This window comes from Homo sapiens, chromosome 1 (genome assembly GCF_000001405.40).
Source record: "Homo sapiens chromosome 1, GRCh38.p14 Primary Assembly".
Taxonomy (NCBI): domain Eukaryota; kingdom Metazoa; phylum Chordata; class Mammalia; order Primates; family Hominidae; genus Homo; species Homo sapiens.
The window spans coordinates 12,039,708-12,062,379 of NC_000001.11; the positions used below are offsets into that span (position 1 = coordinate 12,039,708).

The 22,672-nt window shown below is 51.9% G+C and overlaps 11 annotated features.

Moving 5' to 3' along the window:
• Positions 1,012-1,081: an enhancer, noted in NCBI's record as "active region_188". NCBI's record gives its function as "activates an Ori minimal core promoter by ATAC-STARR-seq in GM12878 lymphoblastoid cells {active_cell/tissue: GM12878}" and the evidence as "EXISTENCE:reporter gene assay evidence [ECO:0000049][PMID:35858748]".
• Positions 7,104-7,163: an enhancer, noted in NCBI's record as "active region_189". NCBI's record gives its function as "activates an Ori minimal core promoter by ATAC-STARR-seq in GM12878 lymphoblastoid cells {active_cell/tissue: GM12878}" and the evidence as "EXISTENCE:reporter gene assay evidence [ECO:0000049][PMID:35858748]".
• Positions 7,824-7,913: an enhancer, noted in NCBI's record as "active region_190". NCBI's record gives its function as "activates an Ori minimal core promoter by ATAC-STARR-seq in GM12878 lymphoblastoid cells {active_cell/tissue: GM12878}" and the evidence as "EXISTENCE:reporter gene assay evidence [ECO:0000049][PMID:35858748]".
• Positions 8,304-8,393: an enhancer, noted in NCBI's record as "active region_191". NCBI's record gives its function as "activates an Ori minimal core promoter by ATAC-STARR-seq in GM12878 lymphoblastoid cells {active_cell/tissue: GM12878}" and the evidence as "EXISTENCE:reporter gene assay evidence [ECO:0000049][PMID:35858748]".
• Positions 12,462-12,611: an enhancer, noted in NCBI's record as "active region_192". NCBI's record gives its function as "activates an Ori minimal core promoter by ATAC-STARR-seq in GM12878 lymphoblastoid cells {active_cell/tissue: GM12878}" and the evidence as "EXISTENCE:reporter gene assay evidence [ECO:0000049][PMID:35858748]".
• Positions 12,652-12,741: an enhancer, noted in NCBI's record as "active region_193". NCBI's record gives its function as "activates an Ori minimal core promoter by ATAC-STARR-seq in GM12878 lymphoblastoid cells {active_cell/tissue: GM12878}" and the evidence as "EXISTENCE:reporter gene assay evidence [ECO:0000049][PMID:35858748]".
• Positions 12,752-12,811: an enhancer, noted in NCBI's record as "active region_194". NCBI's record gives its function as "activates an Ori minimal core promoter by ATAC-STARR-seq in GM12878 lymphoblastoid cells {active_cell/tissue: GM12878}" and the evidence as "EXISTENCE:reporter gene assay evidence [ECO:0000049][PMID:35858748]".
• Positions 13,487-13,536: an enhancer, noted in NCBI's record as "active region_195". NCBI's record gives its function as "activates an Ori minimal core promoter by ATAC-STARR-seq in GM12878 lymphoblastoid cells {active_cell/tissue: GM12878}" and the evidence as "EXISTENCE:reporter gene assay evidence [ECO:0000049][PMID:35858748]".
• Positions 14,419-14,468: a silencer, noted in NCBI's record as "silent region_281". NCBI's record gives its function as "represses an Ori minimal core promoter by ATAC-STARR-seq in GM12878 lymphoblastoid cells {active_cell/tissue: GM12878}" and the evidence as "EXISTENCE:reporter gene assay evidence [ECO:0000049][PMID:35858748]".
• Positions 16,904-16,953: an enhancer, noted in NCBI's record as "active region_196". NCBI's record gives its function as "activates an Ori minimal core promoter by ATAC-STARR-seq in GM12878 lymphoblastoid cells {active_cell/tissue: GM12878}" and the evidence as "EXISTENCE:reporter gene assay evidence [ECO:0000049][PMID:35858748]".
• Positions 17,054-17,143: an enhancer, noted in NCBI's record as "active region_197". NCBI's record gives its function as "activates an Ori minimal core promoter by ATAC-STARR-seq in GM12878 lymphoblastoid cells {active_cell/tissue: GM12878}" and the evidence as "EXISTENCE:reporter gene assay evidence [ECO:0000049][PMID:35858748]".

The window sequence follows — 22,672 nt, forward strand, 5'->3', positions numbered from 1 at the left end:
ATTCCCAGCAAATTCTGACAAACACCCCCTGACTCCCATGGTGGAAGTTTGCCAGGTGTCAACTAAAGAAAATAAAAAGCTGAAGAATTAGAGTTCGGGCTGGGTGTGGTAGCTCACACTTGTAATCCCAGTAATTTGGGAGGCTGAAGCCAGTGGATTGCCCGAGCCCAGGAGTTTAAGAGCAGCCTGGGCAACATGTAGAGATGAAACCCCATCTCTACTGAAAATACAAAAAATTAGCCAGGCATGGTGACATACATCTGTGGTTCCCAGCTACTTGGTAGGCTGAGGTGGGAGGATCACCTGAGCCCGGGGAAGTCTGAGACTGCAGTGCGTGGTGATCACAACACTGCACTCCAGCCTGAGCAACAGAGTGAGACCATGTCTAAAAATAAATAAATAAATAAAAATGCCGGGCGTGGTGGCTCAAGCCTGTAATCCCAGCACTTTGGGAGGCCAAGGTGGGCAGATCACTTGAGGTCAGGAGTTCGAGACCAGTCTGACCAACATTGAGAAACCCAGTCTCTACTAAAAATACAAAATTAGCCGGGCGTGGTGGCACATGCCTGTAATGTCAGCTACTCGGGAGGCTGCGGGAGGAGAATCGCTTGAACCCGGGAGGCAGAGGTTGCAGTGAGCTGAGATCACACCATTGCATTCCAGCCTGGGCAACAAGAGTGAAACTCCGTCTCAAAAACAAAAAACAAAAACTTTAGAGTTCTTTTTATTCAGAAGTTTTACCAGGACTATAGACCGAGCCTATTGCCTGAGAGCAGCCCTGTGGAGGGGTTCTATCAGCTGCTCTGGCAGTTTCAGTTCACAGTTTATGTACAGGTGGTGAAGCTGTAATATGTACAAAATCACATCGAGGTTTGGGTATAGAGTACATCTGGCTATAGATGACTAAAGCACATCTGCTGAATCGATTGTGGAGGCAGAATCACTAACCCCACCAGATGGTATCTTATGTGTAGGAAAAAGCAAGTCTGGGGCCATTTATCTTTCAAGGAATATAGTGACTCACGCAAGAGACATGGGGCTCTATTCTGTTTTGTCTTCAAAGCATCCCTCCAGAGAGCTGCCCATTGTCACAGAGCCAGCGGCTTGTGAATCCACTCAAGCAGAAATGAGCAAACATAACTTCTTACATTTGCTACTTAGGCTCACCCAGGAGAGGAAGCAGCCCCAGGTGCCAGCTGTGTGTTGCAGAACACTGGACCTGGAGCCTCAGCCTGGGGGTCAGTGTTGGCTGCTGCTCCTGCACAAGTCAGTGGGCTTCTCTGAGCCTCAGTTTCCTCATCTGTAGAATGGGGATTAGAATGCTACCTACTGGGCCAGGCACCGTGGCTCACACCTATAATGCCAACACTTTGGGAGGCCAAGGTGGGTGGATTGCTTGAGCCCAGGAGCTCGAGACCGGCTTGGGCAACATAGGGAGACCCCTGTCTCTACAAAAGAATTTAAAAAATTAGCCAGGTGTGGTGGCACGAACCTGTGTTTCCAGCCACTTGGGAGGCTGAGGCAGGAGGATCACTTGAGCCCAGGAGTTGGAAGCTGCAGCGAGCCACGGTCGAGCTACTGCACTCCAGCCTGGGTGACAGAGCAAGACCCTGTCTCAAAAAACAAAACAAAACAAAACAAAACAACAACAACAAAAAAAAAAAACCCAGAAAACCAAGAATGTTACCTACTGCGTTGGGGTTTTTAGAGGATGAAATTAGATGATCAGGAGATGAAATGCGTAGTGCAGTACTGGGCCTAATAAATGTGCAACATTATTATTTGAAACCAGGGCCTGTGTGCATATTGGCAGATGAGGATCCTGTCTCTAGAGGGGTCCACCCCACCTGGCCAGATACACAGTAAGGAATGAGCCGAGTGGGAGCAGGGGAAGTTTCAGGTGATTCTTCCATGAAATGATGGACACAGGGCGCTGGCCCAGTGTCTGTGCTGGAGTAGGGCCCTGCGGGCCTCCAAGCCTGGGAGGGTCAGAGGCCTGAAAACCACTCAGGCCCTTCCAGGAATCTTTGGTTGGGAACTCTAGGGACTCTGTAGGACACGGTGTGGGAACAGAGCAGGATGGGGGCAGTTACCCACACCTCCATTCCACTCCTCCTGCAGGGTAAGACCTGCTCAAGTCCCGCCTTCAGGCCGGATTGCCCAAACCTTTCCTCAGTCTCCCTGCCTGGCCACGTGGACTCCCCATCCCCGTAAAACCCTCCTGTGGTTCTCCTGACCGGGATGGGTGGGTTCCTTGGGACTTCTTGCCTTGCTGGGCTGGGCCCTTCTGAAGGACAAGGGTCTCCCAGGTGCTGATCCTCCCTGTGGGCCTCAGCTGCCAAAGGACTCTGAGGACACTGACATTTGGGAGAGCCGGCATCTTCTCTGGGTCCCTGATGTGGGTTCAGAGGTGGCCCCCCAAAGATATGTCCACCTAGAACTTCAGAGTATATGACCTTATTTGGAATAAGGGTCTATGCAGATATAATTTTTTTCTTTTTTTTTTTTTTTTTTTGAGATAGTCTCACCCTATCACCCGCTAGGGCTGTATAACAGAACACCACAGACTGCAGGGCTTAAGCAACATAAATTTCTTTTCTTTTTTTCTTTCTGTTTTTTGTTTGTTTGTTTTTGGTTGCCCAAGCTGGAGCGCAGTGGCACGCTCTCGGCTCACTGCAACCTGCGCCTCCCGGGTTCAAGTGATTCTCCTGCCTCAGCCTCCCGAGCAACTGGGACTACAGACGCACACCACCATACCTGGCTAATTTTTTGTATTTTCAGTAGAGACAGGGTTTCACCATGTTGGCTAGGATAGTCTTGAACTCCTGACCTTAAGTGATCCACCCGCCTTGGCCTCCCAAAGTGCTGGGATTACAGGCGTGAGCCACCATGCCCAGCCTTTCTGCAGATGTAATTAAGGTAGGGTAATGGGGCTCTTAAGACGCGAGTCCCTCTCCCTCTCCCTCTCCCTCTCCCTCTCCCTCTCCCTCTCCCCACGGTCTCCCTCTGATGCCGAGCCGAAGCTGGACTGTACTGCTGCCATCTCGGCTCACTGCAACCTCCCTGCCTGATTCTCCTGCCTCAGCCTGCCGAGTGCCTGCGATTGCAGGCGCGCGCCGCCACGCCTGACTGGTTTTCGTATTTTTTTGGTGGAGACGGGGTTTCGCTGTGTTGGCCGGGCCCGTCTCCAGCTCCTAATCGCGAGTGATCCGCCAGCCTCGGCCTCCCGAGGTGCCGGGATTGCAGACGGAGTCTCGTTCACTCAGTGCTCAATGGTGCCCAGGCTGGAGTGCAGTGGCGTGATCTCGGCTCGCTAAAACCTCCACCTCCCAGCCGCCTGCCTTGGCCTCCCAAAGTGCCGAGATTGCAGCCTCTGCCCGGCCGCCACCCCGTCTGGGAAGTGAGGAGCGTCTCTGCCTGGCCGCCCATCGTCTGGGATGTGAGGAGCCCCTCTGCCTGGCTGCCCAGTCTGGAAAGTGAGGAGCGTCTCTGCCCGGCCGCCATCCCATCTAGGAAGTGAGGAGCGTCTCTGCCCGGCCGCCCATCGTCTGAGATGTGGGGAGCGCCTCTGCCCTGCCGCCCCGGCTGGGATGTGAGGAGCGCCTCTGCCCGGCTGCGACCCCGTCTGGGAGGTGAGGAGCATCTCTGCCCGGCCGCTCCGTCTGAGAAGTGAGGAGACCCTCCACCCGGCAGCCGCCCCGTCTGAGAAGTGAGGAGCCCCTCCGCCCGGCAGCCACCCCGTCTGGGAAGTGAGGAGCCTCTCCGCCCGGCAGCCACCCCGTCCGGGAGAGAGGTGGGGGGGTCAGCCCCCAGCCAGGCCAGCCGCCCCGTCCGGGAGGGAGGTGGGGGGTCAGCCCCCCGCCCGGCCAGCCGCCCCGTCCGGGAGGTGAGGGGCGCCTCTGCCCGGCCGCCCCTACTGGGAAGTGAGGAGCCCCTCTGCCAGGCCACCACCCCGTCTGGGAGGTGTACCCAACAGCTCATTGAGAACGGGCCATGATGACAATGGCGGTTTTGTGGAATGGAAAGGGGGGAAAGGTGGGGAAAAGATTGAGAAATCGGAAAAAAAAAAAAAAAAAAAAGGTAGGGTAATGATCTCAAAATGAGAGCATCCTGGTTTAGGGAGGGCTTTAAATCCAATAATAGGTGTCTTATAAGATACAGAAAAGGACACACCACAGAGACACAAAGAATTAGGGAACATGGGCCAGGAGTGGTGGCTCACACCTGTAATCCCAGCACTTTGGGAGGCTGAGGTGGGCGGATCACCTGAGGTCAGGAGTTTGAGTCCAGCCTGGCCAACATGGTAAAACCCCGTCTCTACTAAAAATACAAAAAAAAAAAAAATTAGCCAGGTGGTGCGTGCCTGTAATCCCAGCTACTCGGGAGGCTGAGGCAGGAGAATCACTTGAACCCGGGTGGCAGAGGTTGCAGTGAGCCGAGATCACGCCACTGCACTCCAGCCTGGGCAACAGAGCAAGGCGCTATCTCACTGAAAAAAAAAAAAAAGCAAGCAGGGAACATGATGACAGGGGCAGAGAGGACTGATGAAGGATGGCAGGCAGCTGCTAGAAGCCAGGGGAGAGGCATAGGAGGGACAGATTTTCTGTCAGAGCTTCCAGAAGGAAGCAACCCTGCCAACACCTTGATCTTGGACTTCCGGTCTCCAGAACTAGAGGCTAGAAGTTTCAATTGTTTTAATCATACCGTTTGTGAGCAGTTACTACAGTGGCCCTAAGAAATGAACACAGACTGGGCGTGGTACCTCATGCCTGTAATCCTAGCACTCTGGGAGGCCGAGGTGGGTGGATCACTTGAGGTCAGGAGTTTGAGACCAGTCTGGCTAACATGGTGAAACCCCGTCTCTACTGAAAATACAAAAATTAGCCGGTGTAATGGCATGCACCTGAAATCTCACTTACTCGGGAGGCTGGGGCACGAGAGTCGCTTGAACCTGGGAGGCAGAGGTTGCAGTGAGCTGAGATCACGCCACTGCACTCCAACCTGGGTGACAGAGCGAGACTCTGACTCAAAAAAAAAAAAAAGAAATGAATACAGTTCACAGTTGCCTGGATGAATGATGAATGAGATGCTGGGGTGGCCACGTGACGGCTGTTTGCTCACGGTCAAGTCCACAGTTTAGCTCTTAGCTTCAGTTGGGAATTAATTTTCTGGGGCAAGCAGAAACCTCAGTGTCCTGGGCTGAACTGTGTCCCTCCCCAAATTCACATTTGGAAGTCCTAACCTCCAGTACTTCAGAATGCAACAGTCCTTTGAGATAGTCTTTAAAGAGGCAATTAAGTTAAAACAAGGCCTTTCAGGTGGACCCTAATCCAATACGACTGGTGTCCTTACAAAAAGGGGAAATTTGGCCACAGACCTGTGCACGTACAGAGGAAAGTCCAGGTGAGAACGCAGCGACAACATGGCCACCCGTGAGCCAAGGAGAGAGGTCTTGAAAAAACCCAGCCCTGCTGACGCCTCAACCTTCACCTCCAGAAGTGCGAGGAAGCTAATTTCTGTGGCTTAAGCCACCCCATTTGCGGGACTTTATGGCAGCCTGAGCAGACTAACACGCTCATCATGCCAGAAAATTCCTTGTTGGGCTTGAGGTGGAGTGGGGGGAAGGAAACTCATCCCTGGCCCTCCATCCTGAGATTCCTGAACTCCAAAGCTCCCCGCTGCTTGACCTCAGTGCTCCAAGCTGTAAATGCAGGTTTGTCTTACCGGCCAAAGCAGCCTCTCAAGATGACACGTTGGGGAGATGAGGTCTCCCATAGATGGGAGGGGTGGACAGCAGGCAGTACCCCCAACCCTCTGCCCTGGTCACCGACAAGCTGAGACAGCCTCATGGCCCTTGGTGTCTGGCCACTCCGGCATCTGATGTATCTTGGGGTTTTATAATCCTGGGGGTTCATCTGTCCTAGGTGTACTAAATTCGGGAGCTCATGGCTTGCAGGCATCACTTATGGTAGTAAGAGGAAGATTTTTCTTTCTATTTTTTTTTTATTTGAGATGGAGTCTTGCTCTGTCACGCAGGCTGGATTGCAGTGGCGCGATCTCGGCTCACTGCAGCCTCCACCTCGCAGGCTCACGTGATTCTTGTGCCTCAGCCTCTCAAGTAGCTGGGATTACAGGCACGTGCCACCACGTCTGGCTAATTTTTATGCTTTTAGTAGAGACGGGATTTCACCATATTGGCCAGGCTGTTCTCAAACTCCTGGCCTCAGGTGATCCACCCACCTCTGCCTCCCAAAGTGCAGGGATTACAGGCGTGAACCACTGTGCCCGGCCAGTAAGAGGAAGATTTAGATAGTGCGTATCATGTGCCATGCACTATTCTTATTTTATTTATTTTATTTTTTGAGATGGAGTCTTGCTCTGTCCCCTAGTCTGGAGTGCAATCGCGCGATCTCGGCTCACTGCAACCTCTGCCTCCTGGGTTCAAGTGATTCTCCTGCCTCAGCATCCTGAGTAGCTGGGACTACAGTCACGTGCCACCACACCTGGCTGATTTTTTGTATTTTTAGTAGAGACGGGGTTTCACCGTATTAGCCAGGATGGTCTTGATTTCCTGACCATGTGATCTGCCCACCTCAGCCTCCCAAAGTGCTGTGATTAGAGGCATGAGCCACTGTGCCCGGCCCCACCATGCACTATTCTAAGAGCTCCATATCTCTTACTCTTCGAGTTCTCAAAACCATCCTGTAAGGTAAGGTTATTATCCCCAGTTTAGAGATGGGGCATTTGAGGCACAGAGAGGTTAACTGACCTGTCTCGGGCCACACAGCTATCAAGGGACCAAGCCAGGATTCGAACTCAGACCACCCTGAACTCCAGAGTCCGTCCTTTTGAGCTGCATCACATGCCCCTTGGTAGACATCTGTGCTGACATTTCTCTCCTCCTCTGCTGGCATTGGGTGGACTCCTATTTTCCTCGGGAGGCAGCTTAGCCAGGAGGAGTGGCAAAGCCTGGATTGGGCTGAGTGAGCCCCTATGTGGCCCCGCACTACATAACCTGACACTGAGCTCTGGGCCTTCCTTCCCTTCCTCCCTGGCTGACAGGGGTTAGAGGTGGGGTCGCTGCCCCACTTGCTGTGAAGTTGGGGGAAGGGGATCATAATGCTTTGCTGATCACACACCCTGGCACACTTGCATACACACACACCCTTACACACACAGCCTTGAGCACACACCTACCCACCCACATGCACACACCCACACCCACACACCGTCACACATTTGCACACACAACCTCAAGCACGCAGAACCTCACACACACATCCTTGTGCACACACACCACGTGCATGCGCACATAATCTCAGGGGCACAAGCCCTCGCTGCTCTCACACACTCATACACTTACACACACACCCTAGACACACTTGTGTGTACACCAGCTCACACACACACCCCACTCTCATACACTTGTGGACACACAGCCTTGAGCCCACAGGTCCCTACTTTTGAGGGCACGAGCCCTCTTGCACACCCTCACACTCCCTCCCTTACACACACTCCCTCACATGTGTGCACATGCATACACACACGCACACACACACGCACACACACACATGCACACACACACATGCACACACACACGTGCTGCAGGAAGCCCTGTCATTGTCAGTGTGGCCCCAGAACTTAGTCATTTAATGACCCATTGGGCCGTGTTTCTTTCATGGAAGCCAACACTTGGCTTTTTCTTTACCGAGATCTTCTCACTCAGTTTCTCTCAGTCTCACTTTTCATTTTGACTGGCAAGGAGTTTTTTTCAATCTCTTGTGGTTTTAACAGCACCAGCGGCTACAGCTCAAACCTCAAGCATCCAGGGCCACCGCCTGCCTCTCCGATCGGTCTGTTCTGGCTGGGAGAAGCCCAGGGCTTCCCTGCTTGTCAGCCCGGCCGCTTGCCCAGCAGTTTGTGAGATGGAAGGTGGAGAGAAAGAACTGTGGGGGTGAGAAGTGACGTCACCATAGGGGCTGGGGTTGTGGACAGGCCCCCATCAACCCTCTCCCGCCACCCCCAGAGCACCAATGCGTCATCTTGGAGTTTCTTTAGTGCTTAGGCAGATGAATTCTGACGTGACAGCTGGGAACCCCTGCGGGGGAAGTTGGGGTCAACAGCTGATCCCAGAGGCTCCCGGGGGCACTGACACCTGGGAGCCCCAGCTGTGTTGCCCCTTTTCCAGCCATCAGGTTTGGGGGGCTCCAAGCTGGCATTTATACCCACTGCCTGCAGCCGTGTGAAGTCTTTCAGACTGAGTTCAAGTCTTGTTTCACCATTGTCAGCAGAGTCACTCAGCAAGGTGCTCTGTCCCCTCCCGTGGAAAAGAGGGTGACCCAGAGGTACACAGATTGTTAGATAGGTCCTAAGGTTTGAAAAGTCTTAGAGCATTGCCAGGTATGGTGGCTCACACCTGTAATCCCAGCACTTTGGGATGCTGAGGTGGGCAGATCATTTGAGCCCAGGAGATGGAGACCAGCCTGCCTGGGCAACATAGGAAGACCCCCATCTCTACAGAAAATAACAAAAATTAGCCGGGCATGGTGGTGCGTGCCTGTAGTTTCAGCTACTCAGGAGGCTGAGGTGGGAGGATCAATTGAGCCAGGGAAGTTGAGGCTGCAGTGAGCTGAGATCATGTCACCTCACTCCAGCCTGGGCAACAGAGCCAGAAGCTGTCTCAAAAGAGAAAGAAAAAAAAGAAAGAAAGAAAGAAAGGAAAGAAAGAAAAAGACAAAGAAAAAAAAAAGTCTTAGAACAATTCCTGGGATGAAGCAGATTCTTCCTGCTTAGGAACCTTTCAGATCCAAATCCATGACTCCCTTCTTCCTTCCAAGTTCTCTGGAGTTGAGCCCAGGCACAGAGGACACGGTTATTCATTGAAACAGTAGGACATGTTGCTTTTTTCTTTTTTCTATGTGACTTTGGACAAGTTGCCTCACAACTCAACTTCATCTCTTTCTAAGCCTCCTTGTGGATATGGGAAATAAATGAACTCATGTGGAGAAGAGCCGTTATGGACTGAACTGTGCCTGCTTCTCCCTGCCAAGTTCATGCCCCCCAAATTCATAGGTTGAAGCCCTAACCCCCAATGAGACAGGGCCTCTTTTTGGTTTTTGTTTTCATTTTTGTTTTTGTTTTTTTAAGACGAAGTCTTTCTCTGTCATCCAGGCTGGAGTGCAGTGGCATGATCTCGGCTCACTGCAACCTCCGCCTCCCGGGTTCAAATGATTCTCCTGCCTTGACCTCCCCAGAAGCTGGGATTATAGGCACGTGCCAACAAGCCCGGCTAATGTTTGTATTTTTAGTAGAGACAGGGTTTCACCATGTTGGTCAGGGTGGTCTCAAACTCCTGACCTTGTGATCCGCCCGCCTCGGCCTCCCAAAGTGTTGGGATTACAGGCGTGAGCCACCGCGCCTGGCCAAGACAGGACCTTTAAAAAGGTAATTAAGGTTAAGCGAGGTCCTAAGGGTGGGGCTTTCAGCTAATGGGATTATCACACTCCTAAGAAGAGAAAAGGACACCAGGAATGCACACGCAGAGAAAAGGCCCCTCAAGGACATAGCAAGAAGGTGATGTCCTCAAGTCAAGGAGCGAGACCTGAGGAAAAAGCAAATCTGCTGACACCTTACTCTCAGATTCACAGCCTTGAGAATGATAAGAAAATAAATTTCTGGGCTGGGCGTGGTGGCTCACTCCTGTAATCCCAGCACTTTGGGAGGCCAAGGCGGGTGGATCACCTGAGGTCAGGAGTTTGAGACCAGCCTGGCAACATGGTAAAACCCCGTCTCTACTAAAAATACAAAAATTAGCCAGGTGTGGTGGCACATGCCTGTAATCCTAGCTACTCGGGAGGCTGAGGCAGGATAATTGCTTGAACCCGGGAGACAGAAGCTGCAGTGAGCAAAGATTGTGCCATTGCACTCCAGCCTGGGTGACAAGAGTGAGACTTTGTCTCGAAAGAAAAAAAAAAAAGGAAATAAATTTCTGTTGCTTAAGCCCTCCAACGTGTGTTGTTCTGTTATACTCAGCCCTAGTGGACTAATACAGGGACTGCTATTGCAATGGCTGGTAGGCACCTAGGAGCTGCTGATCAATGATAGCCATGATTATTGTTTGCATAGCAAACAGTCTTGGAAGCTGGAGGTAGCATCTCCCACTGGGCTAGCGAGCAAATGTATTTACTTTCCAGGACAGTAAGGACTCCCTCCCGTCCCCTAGGGAGATGGCTATTCCAGGGTGATAAAGACAATGTCTTCTCAGGACAGAGGTTGAATAGGTTTGCCAGCAGCCCCTAATGAGATTGGGGGTCTCCCATGGTGTGTGCTCAGCACCAGCCTGGGCTGGTTCCTCACCCTACGTGAAGGGATGTTAAGGGCAAGGGCAAGGGCAAGCAATGCAAATTCAGTGCTCATGCTATGTGCAGGGCTGCAGGTAGTAGACCCTCATTTTATTTTTTCTAGACAGGGTCTTGCTGTGTCACCCAGGCTGGAGGGCAGTGGTGCGATCATGGCTCACTACAGCCTCGACCTCCTGGGCTCAGGCCGTCCTCCCACCTCAGTCCCCCGAGTAGCTGGGACTACAGGAGTATGCCACCACACCCGGCTAATTTTTTTTTTTTTTTTTTGTAGAGATGAGGAGTCTCACTTTGTTGCCCAGGATGGGCAGCTCCTGGGCTCAAGGGATCTGCCCACCTTGGCCTCCCAAATTGCTGGGATTATAGGCATGAGCCACCCTGCCCGGCCAGTAGTAAACCCTTTAAATCTAGCTGGGCTCATTGTCTCCTTAGCATCTGAATCTATCAGAATGTGGCAAGCCGAACTAATTGCTTGAAAAATTATTATTATTTTGAGACTGAATCTCTCTCTATTGCCCAGGCCGGAGTGCAGTGGCACAATCTCGGCTCACTGCAACCTCTGCCTCCCAGGTTCAAGCAATTCTCCTGCCTCAGCCTCCTGATTAGCTGGGAATACAGGTGCCCACCACCACACCCAGCTAATTTTTTTATATTTTTATTAGAAACGGCGTTTCACCATGTTGGCCAGGCTGGTTTCAAACTCCTGACCTTAAGTAATCCACCTGCCTCAGCCTCCCAAAGTGCTAGGATTACAGGGGTAAGCCACCGTGCCCAGCCTATTATTATTTTTAATTTGAGATGGTTATATTCTTTTTTTTTTTTTTGAGATGGAGTCTCGCTCTGCAGTGGCGCAATCTCAGCTCACTGCAACCTCTGCCTCCTGGGTTCAAGCGATTCTCCTGCCTCAGCCTCCCGATTAGCTGGGATTACAGGCACCCACCACCACTCCCAGCTAATTTTTTTTTTTGCATTTTTAGTAGAGACGGGGTTTCACCATGTTGGCAAGGCTGGTCTCGAACTCCTGACCTTAAGTGATCAGCCCGCCTCGGCCTCCCAAAGTGCTGGGATTACAGGCGTGAACCACTGTGCCCGGCCTGCTCTATTTATTAATTCAATAAATATTTATTATGCCAAGCCCTGGTAATAAAGCATTGAGAAACTAGCATTGAGAAACTCCCTGCCCTCAGGGAGCTTGCCTTCTCAAGTCCAGAGCCTCCAGGGGGCTGCGTGAACCAGGTGCAAATACAGTGAGGCTTTGTGCTCCGGCATCTGAGGCCCAGGAGACCTGGGGGCCTGGAGGCAAAATGGTGGCCTCATTTGTCCTGTGGCCGGGCCCTGACTAGATGGCCACAAATTTAGAATAGATCCCTGTCTTTGTGGTATTATAGCTGGGTATCCTGGAGCTTCCTGTGCCAAGCATTTAGCATCTCAGATCTTTGCATAAGTCTGTGATGTCAGTGCCATTGTTATTTCCATTTGATGGATAAGAAAGGCAAGGCCCAGGGTGGTTAACCAGCTGGCTCCAAGTTGCTCAGCTGTGGCTGCAGTAAGAGGTGGGATTTGAACCCAGCTTTCTCTGACTTTACCAAATGCTTTTTTCCCCCAACACCTGGATACCTCTAATTACATTTTATTAATACAGCTTTTTTTTTTTTTTGTTTTTAAACAGAGTCTCACTCTGTCACCCAGCCTGGAGTGCAGTGGTGCAATCCTAGCTCACTGCAGCCTCGATTTCCTGGGTTTAAGCAATTCTCCCGCCTCAGCCTCCCAGGCAGCTGGGACCGCAGGTGAGCACTGTATTAGTCCTACATACCTGGCTAATTAATACTAGGATTTAAAAAAAAAAGTTTGAAGCAATGATCACATAAAAAATGTTTTCTGTGTGCTGCTTATTTTGACCTGAGTTCTGAGGAAGGCGATGGGACCAGCTGCCACAAGGCGAAGCTGCCTTGCCACCTGGGGCCTTGCAGGGTTGAGCCCCGAGCACAGGGGCCCTGGTAGTTGAGCTCTGCCTGACCTGGTCATTCTGAAATCAGGGGCCCCTCCCAGGAAGGCTGCGGGCCCAGGAGAGCAGCGAGGCAGGCTCAGAATTGGGGCTTGAGATGACTCATCTGTGGCTATTTATTACCCGTCTCCATTTCTCGGTCTGATTGGGCTGCTCATGGCCAAGCCTCCCTCCCTGTTGGTGCTGAGTAAGCAGCCTGGACCCGTCCTGCCCCTCTGGCCTCATCTGGAGCTCTCTCCTTTCCCTGTCAGTAACCCTCGGGCCCCCCTGGGGCCACTGAAAGTTCCCCCAGCCACCCTCAGCGAGCTCTTCCCAGCAGTCCCACTCTTTGCTGTTCTCACCCCTTTCTCCCCAGCCTGCTCCTTCTTTCAGGTCTCAGCTTGAGCCTCACCTCTGCCAGGAAGCCCTCACTGACCACTGCATCCACCCCACCACAGTCTGGGTAGGTGGCCGCTGACAGGTGCTCCTAAAGCCCCTGCCCTCCCTCAGTAGTCCCTCCTCACCCCAGCTGAAGGCAACGTCACTCTTCCAGTTTCCCAGGCCAAACCTTTGCCTCATTCTCGCACACATCCAATCCTTCAGTAAATCCCATCCCCAAAGTTCACCCCTAATCCGGCCCCTTCCCTCTCCCACAGCTCCCTCCTGGCCCCAGCCTCCACCCCCTCCACCCTGGATGCTTCAGTTGCCCCTGCCTGCTCTCCCCTCTCTCGTCCTCCCCCTCTTTTCCTGGGCCATCTATTTCCCACGCAACAGCCGGAGTGACCCGGACAACCCAAGTCAGGCCATGCCCCTCCCTGATCCAAACTCCTAGTGGCTCCCATCCCTCTGAGGGCAAAAGCCTTGTTCACTGATGAACCCCAGCACCTATCCTGGGGCCTGGTACCCATATGCCTGTAGAAGTGTTTGTTTAAATGAATATTAATCCATGGCGTTGCCTCTTAAGCAGGGATGTGTTCCTTTCGTCCAAGCGTTCTTGCTCCTATAGGCACATTAGACACTGCAGCAAGAGCAGGTCTCATAGGAGTGGTCCTGGCAGAGCCCCAGGTCTTGCTGGGCACCAGGTCTGCTTGACAGACCACACAGGCCTGGATGGTCAAGTGCTGGTCCCTGGAGTACAAGGAAGGGACCCCAGGGGTCAGTGTCTACCCATATCCGTAGATGCTATCAACAGGTTCTTTTTTTTTTTCTTTTTCTTTTTTTTTAGAGTCAGGGCCAGGCTGACTGTTATTCAGGCTGGAGTGCAGTGGCATAATCATGGCTCACTACAGCCTTGAACTCCTGGGCTCAAGCAATCTTCCCACCTCAGCCTCCTGAGTAGCTTGGACCGCAGGTGTGCGCCATGACGCCCGGCCGCCACCAATATGTTCTTTCCTTGGCTCAGTTCAATGGCCCCTGCAGAGCCGGAAGGCCTGGCTCAGAAAGAACCCTGGCGCCTGTGCAGTGTCAGTGCAAGCCAAGGCAGTGGCTGCTGTTTCCACTGCCAAGCATGAGAGTGGGACGCCAGCCAGTGGCCGGGCTCAGGCCCCAAGGAAACACAAGGTGGGCTGCTGCTTTGGGGACGTTGTTTGGAGTCACTTGAAATGCAAGAGTGACCCCCAGAACACACAGGCCCCCCAGGAGGTGGATGTGGGGTAGACAGCACAGGCCATTTCTTGCTAAGCATTTATTTCCACACTATCTCCTTGGACAGATAACAGGATTGTTTTCAGGTAATAGGTAGATAAGCTGGCCGGGCATTGGGGATGATGGATGCTGAGTCTGGGAGGCAAGTGTGTGCTCACACAGATGTGTACGTGTGTGTGCATGTGTGTGTGCCTATGTGTACGTGTGTGTGCATGTGTGTGTGCATATGTGTATGTGTGTGTGTGCAGCACTGAAACAGGCCGCTGACCGCTCCCAAAGCCCTGATGTTCCATCAGCCTCTGCAGTCACAGCCAAGCAGACCCTTGAGACCCCTGCCATCTGCCTCCCTTGCCAGAGTCTGAAAGCTTGGGGTCAAGGCTTTGCTCCCCTGGTGACAGGCCTGGAAAAGGAAAATGATAGCAAGCAGCAAATACACACAATAAAGCCGGGCGAGGGCAGAGGGGCCGGGTGGGGGCTCAGGAGGCTGGGGCCTGGGGGCTGTCCCTGCACTGACTGGCTGTGGGACTTTGGCCTCAGGGTCGGTGTAACTGGGGTAGGGGAGCGGTTGCTGGATGTGGCGACCCCCACCTCAGCTCTCACACTCTGGCCAGTGTCTGATGCAAACCAGAACCCAGTGAAATCACCATGAGTCGATGGGGGTTATGGATGGTAACTGATGGGTTTTTCTCAGGCCAGATCACAGTTCCAGTCTTCAGGGGGAGGTCCCCATGAGTCTCCAGATCTAGCTGAGGCTTGAGTTGTGGCCACGCCTTAGTTTCTCCACATTGCCAGGGTTTTGTGTCTGGTGAGCCCCAGGCCAGACTGGGCCTTCAGGCCTCCTGCCTCCTGTTTGGAGGGAGGGATGATTCTGGGAGTGGGGCAGACCCACTCCCAGCCACATGGAGGGAATGACCAGGGAGATTCCAGAGGGATTTTCTGAATGAATGCCATATGCTGATGGGCAGCTCCTGCTAGGAACAGGGTCCCTGCTGGCACTTTCTGCAGGCACCCACGGCATGGATGATGGCGCAGATGGGCTGGCAGCATGGCTGTGTTCCGGGTTTCACTTTCAGAGCAGTACCTGCCCTTCTCAGCCTTGCTTGGTGTTCTTGGAACACCCCTAGACCAGCCCCAGAAGGTGAGTCTGACGTCCGCCATGTCTGCTAGGACCCCTGTCCTTGGTCATTCAAGTCATTCAATAAAGATTCATGAAGCCAAGCCCTGCTTATGTCAGTGGACCAGACAGACACAATCCCTGCTCCCCAGGCGGGGAAAGTTAGCAATGAGCAAATAAACGATGCCACACTGTGGTACGTCCCTGATGAACAGGGCGATGTGGCAGAGAGTGGTAACATCAGCTGGGGTGGTCAGGAAAAGCCTCTCTGAGGAGGTTCATCTGAGCCAACACCTGAAGATGAGCAGGAGCTGCGGTTTTAAAATGTGTGTGTGTTAATAGCTTCATTGAGGTATAATAGACACACAGTAATCTTGACCAACTTAAAGTATACCATTTTGTAAGTGTTGGCATGTATATACATCCTTCTCCACAACCAAGATGACCACTATATCTGTCACCCCAGAAGTTTTCTCAGAGGGACAACACTTTGCAGAGCTGGGGGAACAAGTTTTCAGGCGGAGGGACCAGCGAGCACAAAGGCCCTGGGGCAGGGACAAGCTTGGTGGCATCAGGAGAGAAAGGAGTCCACTAGGGAGTGTGACGGGGTGGCCGGTGCCCCACCTGGGGCCTTCTCAGCCAAGGTGCTGAGCTCAGGTCTGAATCTAAGTGCTTCCACAACACCCTCTCGCCACACTGGGCCATCAGAATGCCAGGGCCTGCCCTCCACCAAGGCTCTTCTGAGAAACCAGCCCCTGCGACATCTGCCAGGGACTTAGCAAGGGGTTTCTCCAGGAATGATTTACATTTTAACTGGGACCTTCAATTCCTTGACCCAAGGGAGTGACTAGTGATGGAGCTTCAAGACCTGGATGGACCCTTGATCAGTTTCTTCCTCAGGGCTCTATGTTCTCAGCCTTCATGGGATCGGGTGTGCTGGTTTCTTGAAAATTCTGAGTTGCAAGTCATTATTTGAAGACAGGGGTGCCTGTGGCCCCTTCCAATCCTCCAGCGCTGGTCCTGGGCTCGGAGGCTCTTCCTGCCTGATTGTCAGAGACTCGGCCCATGTGGAGGAGACAGGGAGGGTGGGTAACGGGAAACACAAGGCCAATCCCCTTAGAGCAAACTCCCTTACAACAGATGGCTCTGGGGGAGCACAGAGCAGGTCCCAGGCACCAAGAAATGTGGGCTATCCTTTGGCCATCAGGACGACGGGATTTGGGGATGCAAGTTTTAGCAACTGCGACCACCAGGGCAGAGGCTCACTCTAGACTCACAAACCTGGGTTTGAATCTGGAACTTACTGGATGGCTTAGGCCAATTTCTTCTCTGAGCATCCGTTTTCCCATGGATTTTTTTTTTTTTTGACAGGGTCTGGCTCTATCACCCAGCCTGGAGTACAGTGGTGCAATCGTGTCTCACTGCAGTCTTGACCTCTAGGGCTCAAGCAGTCCTCCTTTCTCAGCCTACCAAGTAGCTGGAATTACAGTAAGTACCACCACACTTGGCTAATTTTTGCATTTTTAGTAGAGATGGGGTTTTGCTATCTTGCTCAGGCGGGTCTCAAACTCCTGGGCTCAAGCAATCTGCCCCTCTTGGCTTCCCGAAGTGCTGAGATTACAGATGTGAGTCACCGCACTCGGCTTTTCTTGGACTTTTACTCTCAGACCTCCCTGCACGGACGCACCCATGGGTGCGCTCTCCTCGCCTGCACCTCCGATGAAGCTGCTGCCACCATCGGTTGGTTCCATTTCCTTCTTGCACTCAGTGTCTCTGGTTCCATGATTAATATTGGACTAGGCTTGGTTTCCTGAGAGTCTAAATGACTCACCTCCAACTCACCTCCATTTACAACGGCCCTGCTGAGCAAGAAGGTCTGGGGAAGACGGGGACTCCTCGATAGGGACTCTCAGCCCACGGAGTCATCCCCACCAGGCTGTGGGCCTTGGCCAAGTCTCTTTCCCTCTCTGGTCTCAGCTTCCTTCTTCGTGTCTCTGGGGGATGGAAGGAGATATTGGAAATCGGAAAGCCCAGCTGCTAGGCCCAGGAGTTCATGAGGGTTCACAGCCATGAGGCCAAGGTTAGGTGAAAGGTGCCTGAGCTGGGAGGCTGGCTGCCACTAAGGGAAGGGCTTGGGGGATGGGGGCCCCCTCCAGAGGCTCCAACTGAGAGAGCATGGCCTTCCCATGGTGCTAGTCACATCAACCTGTTTAATCCTCACCAGCCCTTTGCAGTAGATCTTATCATTTTCCCATTATAGATGAAGAAATGGAGGCTCAGAGAGGGTGAGCAACTTGCCCGATTTACACAGCTAGTAAATGGCAGAGATAGCATTTGACCAGGGCTGTCTGGTTCTAGGACCTCTGGCAGCCAGAGGAACAGAGCTGTAAATGCTCTGCAGGAGCCGCCAGGCCCAGAGGAATCCAGGCCTCCCCTCTTCCCCACCGGGGCCTTGCAACAAAAGGACTTCTAAGCAGATCATTGACCCTAGCCCCCCCATTTTACAGATGAGGGCACTGAGGACCCCCAAGAGAAAGTCATGCAGCTAAATGCCAACCTGGGCCACACTGGGGCTCCTGACTTTCCATCTAGTCTTTCCACACCTATCAAGCTGGAGCCAAGACTGAGCCCAAATCTGGTGCCAGAGGTTGGGGGAAGTGTTCCCACAGAGACTGTGTGACCAGCAGGCTGGGCCATGGAGGTGTAGGAAGTGGTCACCCACCTGACATCACCTGAGGGGCCAGGAAAGGCCTCAGACCCCCAAGGTTCCCTCCTGTGGGCCTGCCCTGCATGAGTCACCCCTTGGCTGGAACAGTGGATGTCATGGTAGCATGTTTCTCAGAAAGGGGAACCCCCAGCCATGAGCATTTTAGCTGTGCTCTGGAATGGGAGGTCTGGGGCCATAGCAGGGGCCTGGATAGGCAGTGGGAGGGGGCAAAGGGAAGTAGAGCCCTTTCCATGTCTTTCTTGCATTTCCAAGAGCTTTCTATGTCCATATTTTATTCAAGGCCCATTACAACCTTCAGAGGGCAGCCCAGTCATGCTTCAACACACATCTGGCAGAAGGGGAAACTGATGCTCCCAGTGTTCCCCAGCCCCTGGTATTCATGCCCTTGTGCAGTCCGCTCCCACACTGGGGAGAGCCAGCCTGTATAACCAACAGAATACTGTGGAAATGACAAAATGTGACTTCTGAAGCTAGTTCATAAAAAGCATTGTGACTTCTGTCTTGCTCACTTGGGGTCACTTGCTCTGGAGGAAGCCAGCGCCATGTTGTGGGGACACTCAAGCAGCCCCATGGGACTGAAGCCTCCTACCCACAGCCGTGGGAGTGGCTAATCCTGGAAGCAGATGCTCCAGCCCCACTCAAGCCTTCAGATGACTGCCGCCCTGGCCCACATCTTGATGGCAATCCCTGAGCCAGCATCACCCTGTCAAGTCTCTCCCAAATTGCTGACTCACAGAAACAGCGCAATATAATGTTTATTGTTTTCAGCCACTAGGTTCTGAGGCACATAGCAATAGATAATAATACATTCAGAGAGGAGAAATGACTTCCCAAAGTCACATGGCCAGACCAGGACTTATACATCAGTGCTCTTTCTCCTGGGGAAAGCAAGGGTGAGAGAGGCCTGGGGAGGGAAAAGAAGGCAGCTGAGGCTTCAGAGTCAGACAGGGTTGGAGTAAATCCTAGCCCTGCCACCCTCATGCTGTGTGACCTCAGGCAAGTGACTTAACTACTCTGAGCCTCAGTTCATTTATAAAGTGGGGATAGCAATACTGACTTGAAATCTTGATGCCAGGATTAAATGTCTGACCAAGGGCCTGGTACACAGCAGGAGCTCAATGAATGACACTGTTAATGTTACTATGCAGAATCTTTAAGAGCATCCCCGAGGGCCTCACAGCCTTCCCTCCTGCCCATGGGAAGGGGCACAACAAACCTAGTTCTGGAGAGCCAGTGCCCCTTTGCTTAGTTTCCAACCAGGCTTGGTCTAGGGGTGTCATGCTTGTGGGTGTGCATTGCTGGGGTTCACCCAGGCAGCTGAGAACCCCTAATGTTGGTGCCTCAAAAGGGCAGGGAGATCTGGGGATGTGAGTTGGAGGGAGCCTGACATGGGTCCTGCCGATTAGGACTGGTGGAGGCCAAGGGTGACCCAGAGAAGCCTAATGGAGAGTCCTACTGCTACCAAGGCTCCCAAGAAAGTTGCTCAGAAAAGGTGCACCTGCGGCTGGGCGCGGTGGCTCTTGCCTGTAATCCCAGCACTTTGGGAGACCAAGGCATGCAGATCACTTGAGGTCAGGAGTTCAAGACCAGTCTGGCCAACATGGTGAAACCCTGTCTCTACTAAAAATACAAAAATCAGCTGAGTGCAGTGATGCTCGCCTGTAATCCCAGCTACTCGGGAGGCTAAGCATGAGAATCGCTTGAACCTGGGGAGGGGGAGGTTGTAGTGAGCCGAGATTGCACCACTGCTCTCCAGCCTGGGCAACAGAGTGAGACTCCATCTCAAAAAAAAAAAAAAAGAAAGAAAGAAAAGGTGCACCTGGACCTATTGAAGAAGAAAGGCCCCAGCCTCCCCTCTCTGATTTCCAGCCTCCTACCTGCCAGCTGCTGCCTGGGCCAGAAAGAACCCTTTATCTGCTAAGGGTATTTTGGGGCCATTTGGGACTCGGGTTCCCAGCTGTTGGAGGAAGTCCCTGAATTTCCTGAACCAAGTTGGGACCTTGTGTCTTGCTCAGCATCACTTTGGGGACACAGATTCCCAATTCCCCTTGGATGGCTTCCTACTGCATTCACCTTCCTCACCTTTCCTCCAAGAAGCCCACCGAGCTGAGACTGTGTGAGCAAGCGCTCCTCGCTCCCCAGTCTCCTGTAGCCCCTCGGGCTTGGCTTCCTTCCACAGCTTGCTCTGGAGGGCCCCACGACCCCACAACAAGGACTGCTGCTGTGCCTTGCACAGAGCCTAGGGACTTCCCCTTCTACTCTTCACAGCACTTTCATACCACCTGAAACCTGCCGAGGGCACCCGGGGGCTCTATCCACTGCCTGCTTTTAAGAGTCCCATGAATGGCTGTTTTCCTTGGTTGCTACCAGCCCATCTCCCCCTGGGATCCAGCTGGCTCCCTGGCCACAAAATGTGCCTTCCCTCCACTTAAGCCATGTGTCAGCTACTTTCCTGGGCGCCCTGGGGGAATTCTGGTTCTCAGGAGTACACAGTTTCCTGGGGCAGAGGGATGCATGAACCAGTCATTATGGTTATGACATGATGAGATCAGATCTAGAATTGCGGCACAAAAAATGACAGAAACCACTTTTTGACTGGGAAGAGGGCTGGGGGACAGGAGACACTGCCAGGAAAGCAACAAGGAGGAGGTGGCATTGGAACAGGTTAGGAAGATGATCAGGAGTCTGTGTGCGTCCCAGGTGGAGGCCAGCGTGGGCAAAGGCTGGCAGGGGTGAGAAGGCTGCACATTTGGCTGGAGTATAGGTCCAGGAGAAGTAAAAAGGCACAAGGGAGGAGTCAGCCCCTGCCAGGCTGTGAGCAGACTTGTGCACCCTTGCATTTGGGTGACTCTGACCCAGGGGAGCCACTGCAGGGGTTCCTTTCCTGCAGAATGGGCATAAAAGTAGGACCTTGTTCATGGGGTTTTCATGAGGATACAAGAAACCAATGCCTGAAAACTCTTAGCACAAAATAAGCACTCAAAGGTAGCTGTTATTGTTATCATTAAATGAATAATATAATTTTCTACGTGGTCCTCTGCCAAAACACACACCATACTTCCGCAAGGGTTCTCTACAGGGGAGTGTCTTGGTGAGATGTGTGTGCTAGAAAGGTCTCTTTGGAAATCCATGGAGGGAAGGATATGAGGGAGAGACAAGTTTCCACAACATCTATAGATTTATCCTTTTTAATGGATGTGCAATATTCCATTAAATGGATGTACCACAATTTCCGTAATCATTTCTTGTTGTGAATCTCAGAGTATTTCAAAAATTTATAAATAATATATAAGGAAATGTTACTGTATAGTTTTCTTTTTTCTTTTTCTAGTTTTCCAGTTAAATTATTTCCTTAGTTTTTCTTCACTGAGGTGAAATTACTGAGCCACTCACAAGTAGTACACATTTTTTTTTTTTTTTGGCTTTTGCTAAAAATTGCCATACTGCTTTCTGAAAAGGGTTGTAACATTTACCAGCAGAGTATGAATGAGTATTCTGGTCTCACCACAACTTTGGGGTTGGATTTACCAAAATTGTTTTTATAAAGCAAAAAAAAAAAAATGATGATTGTATAGATCTAAAAGGTTATCAAAGGTTGCTTGAATTTGCATTTCTTTAATTACTAAAAAGGTTAAACTTATAAAACTTGTAATTGATTTTTATTTGTATTTCTCCTTGTGCAAGCTATTTTGATGCTGTTGTTCATTTATTTATTCAAAACACCAGCCCTTCTCTCTCTCTCTTTTTTAATTAAACAAAAAATAGAGATGAGGTCTTGCTACGTTACCCGGGCTGGTCTCAAACTGGGCTCAAGTGATCCTCCAACCTCGGCCTCCCAAAGTGTTGGGATTACAGATATGAGCCATGTCACCCAGCTGCCAGCTTTTCTACTTTTGTAGTAGAAAGCTCTGGACTGGGAAGCAGGTGTCTTGCGTTCCTCCTGTCCCTGTCTGGTTCTGTCATTATCACAGGCAGGTCACTTCCATAATTGCTTACCTCATTGTTTAACATAGTCCCAGCTCAAACAGCCTAAGATACTGGGCCTGGTACATCCAGAGGAGAGTCTGGAAGTGGGTCTCTTGGGAAGGGGCATGATGGAGCAGTTTTCCCAAGTGGAGTCCAGCAGCCCCAGGAGGGTTGAGCATGGAGTGGTCAGTTGTGGAGACCTTGCTGGGAAGTTCCTGGTGGGAGGTTATCACTCCTACCCTATAGGGCCTTCACCTGATGGAGGCCTGGTACCTCGCAGGACAGATCAAGGTAGACACAGAAGCCAGAGTATCCTTAGGCTATTCTGGGCTCAGGGAAAATAACTGGCCCACCCTTAATTAGAGCACCTAGGACTGCCTGCCTATTTCTGAGCCTTGGCTTTCACATCTGAAAACCAAACAAAATCAGTCAAAAGAACCCTTGACCTGTGGCCCACCCAGCAGATGCTCAACACAGACACACGGAATGTGGAATAAAAGGAGCAAAGAGAAAACCCAGGGGATGGGGAAGCACTGGAAGGGAAAATCATTCACCAGCAAATGAGAACATAGTACGAGGAGGCTTGAATCATTTCTGTTAGGAGAGAGTGCCAGCCGCCTCCTCCAGGAAGAAAACTCTAAAGGGTCAGGCCTCAGGGAAATAAAATGATCTATACCATCCATCAGTTCCTCCAACATTCAGTCCATCCATCTACCAATCCACCCACCCATTTACCCACTCACCTGCTGCTCATCCATCCATCCATCCATCCACCTATGCATCCATCCATCCATCCATCTATGCATCCATCCATCCACCCATCCACCCACCCATTTACCCACTCACCTGCTGCTCACCCATCCATCCATCCATCCATC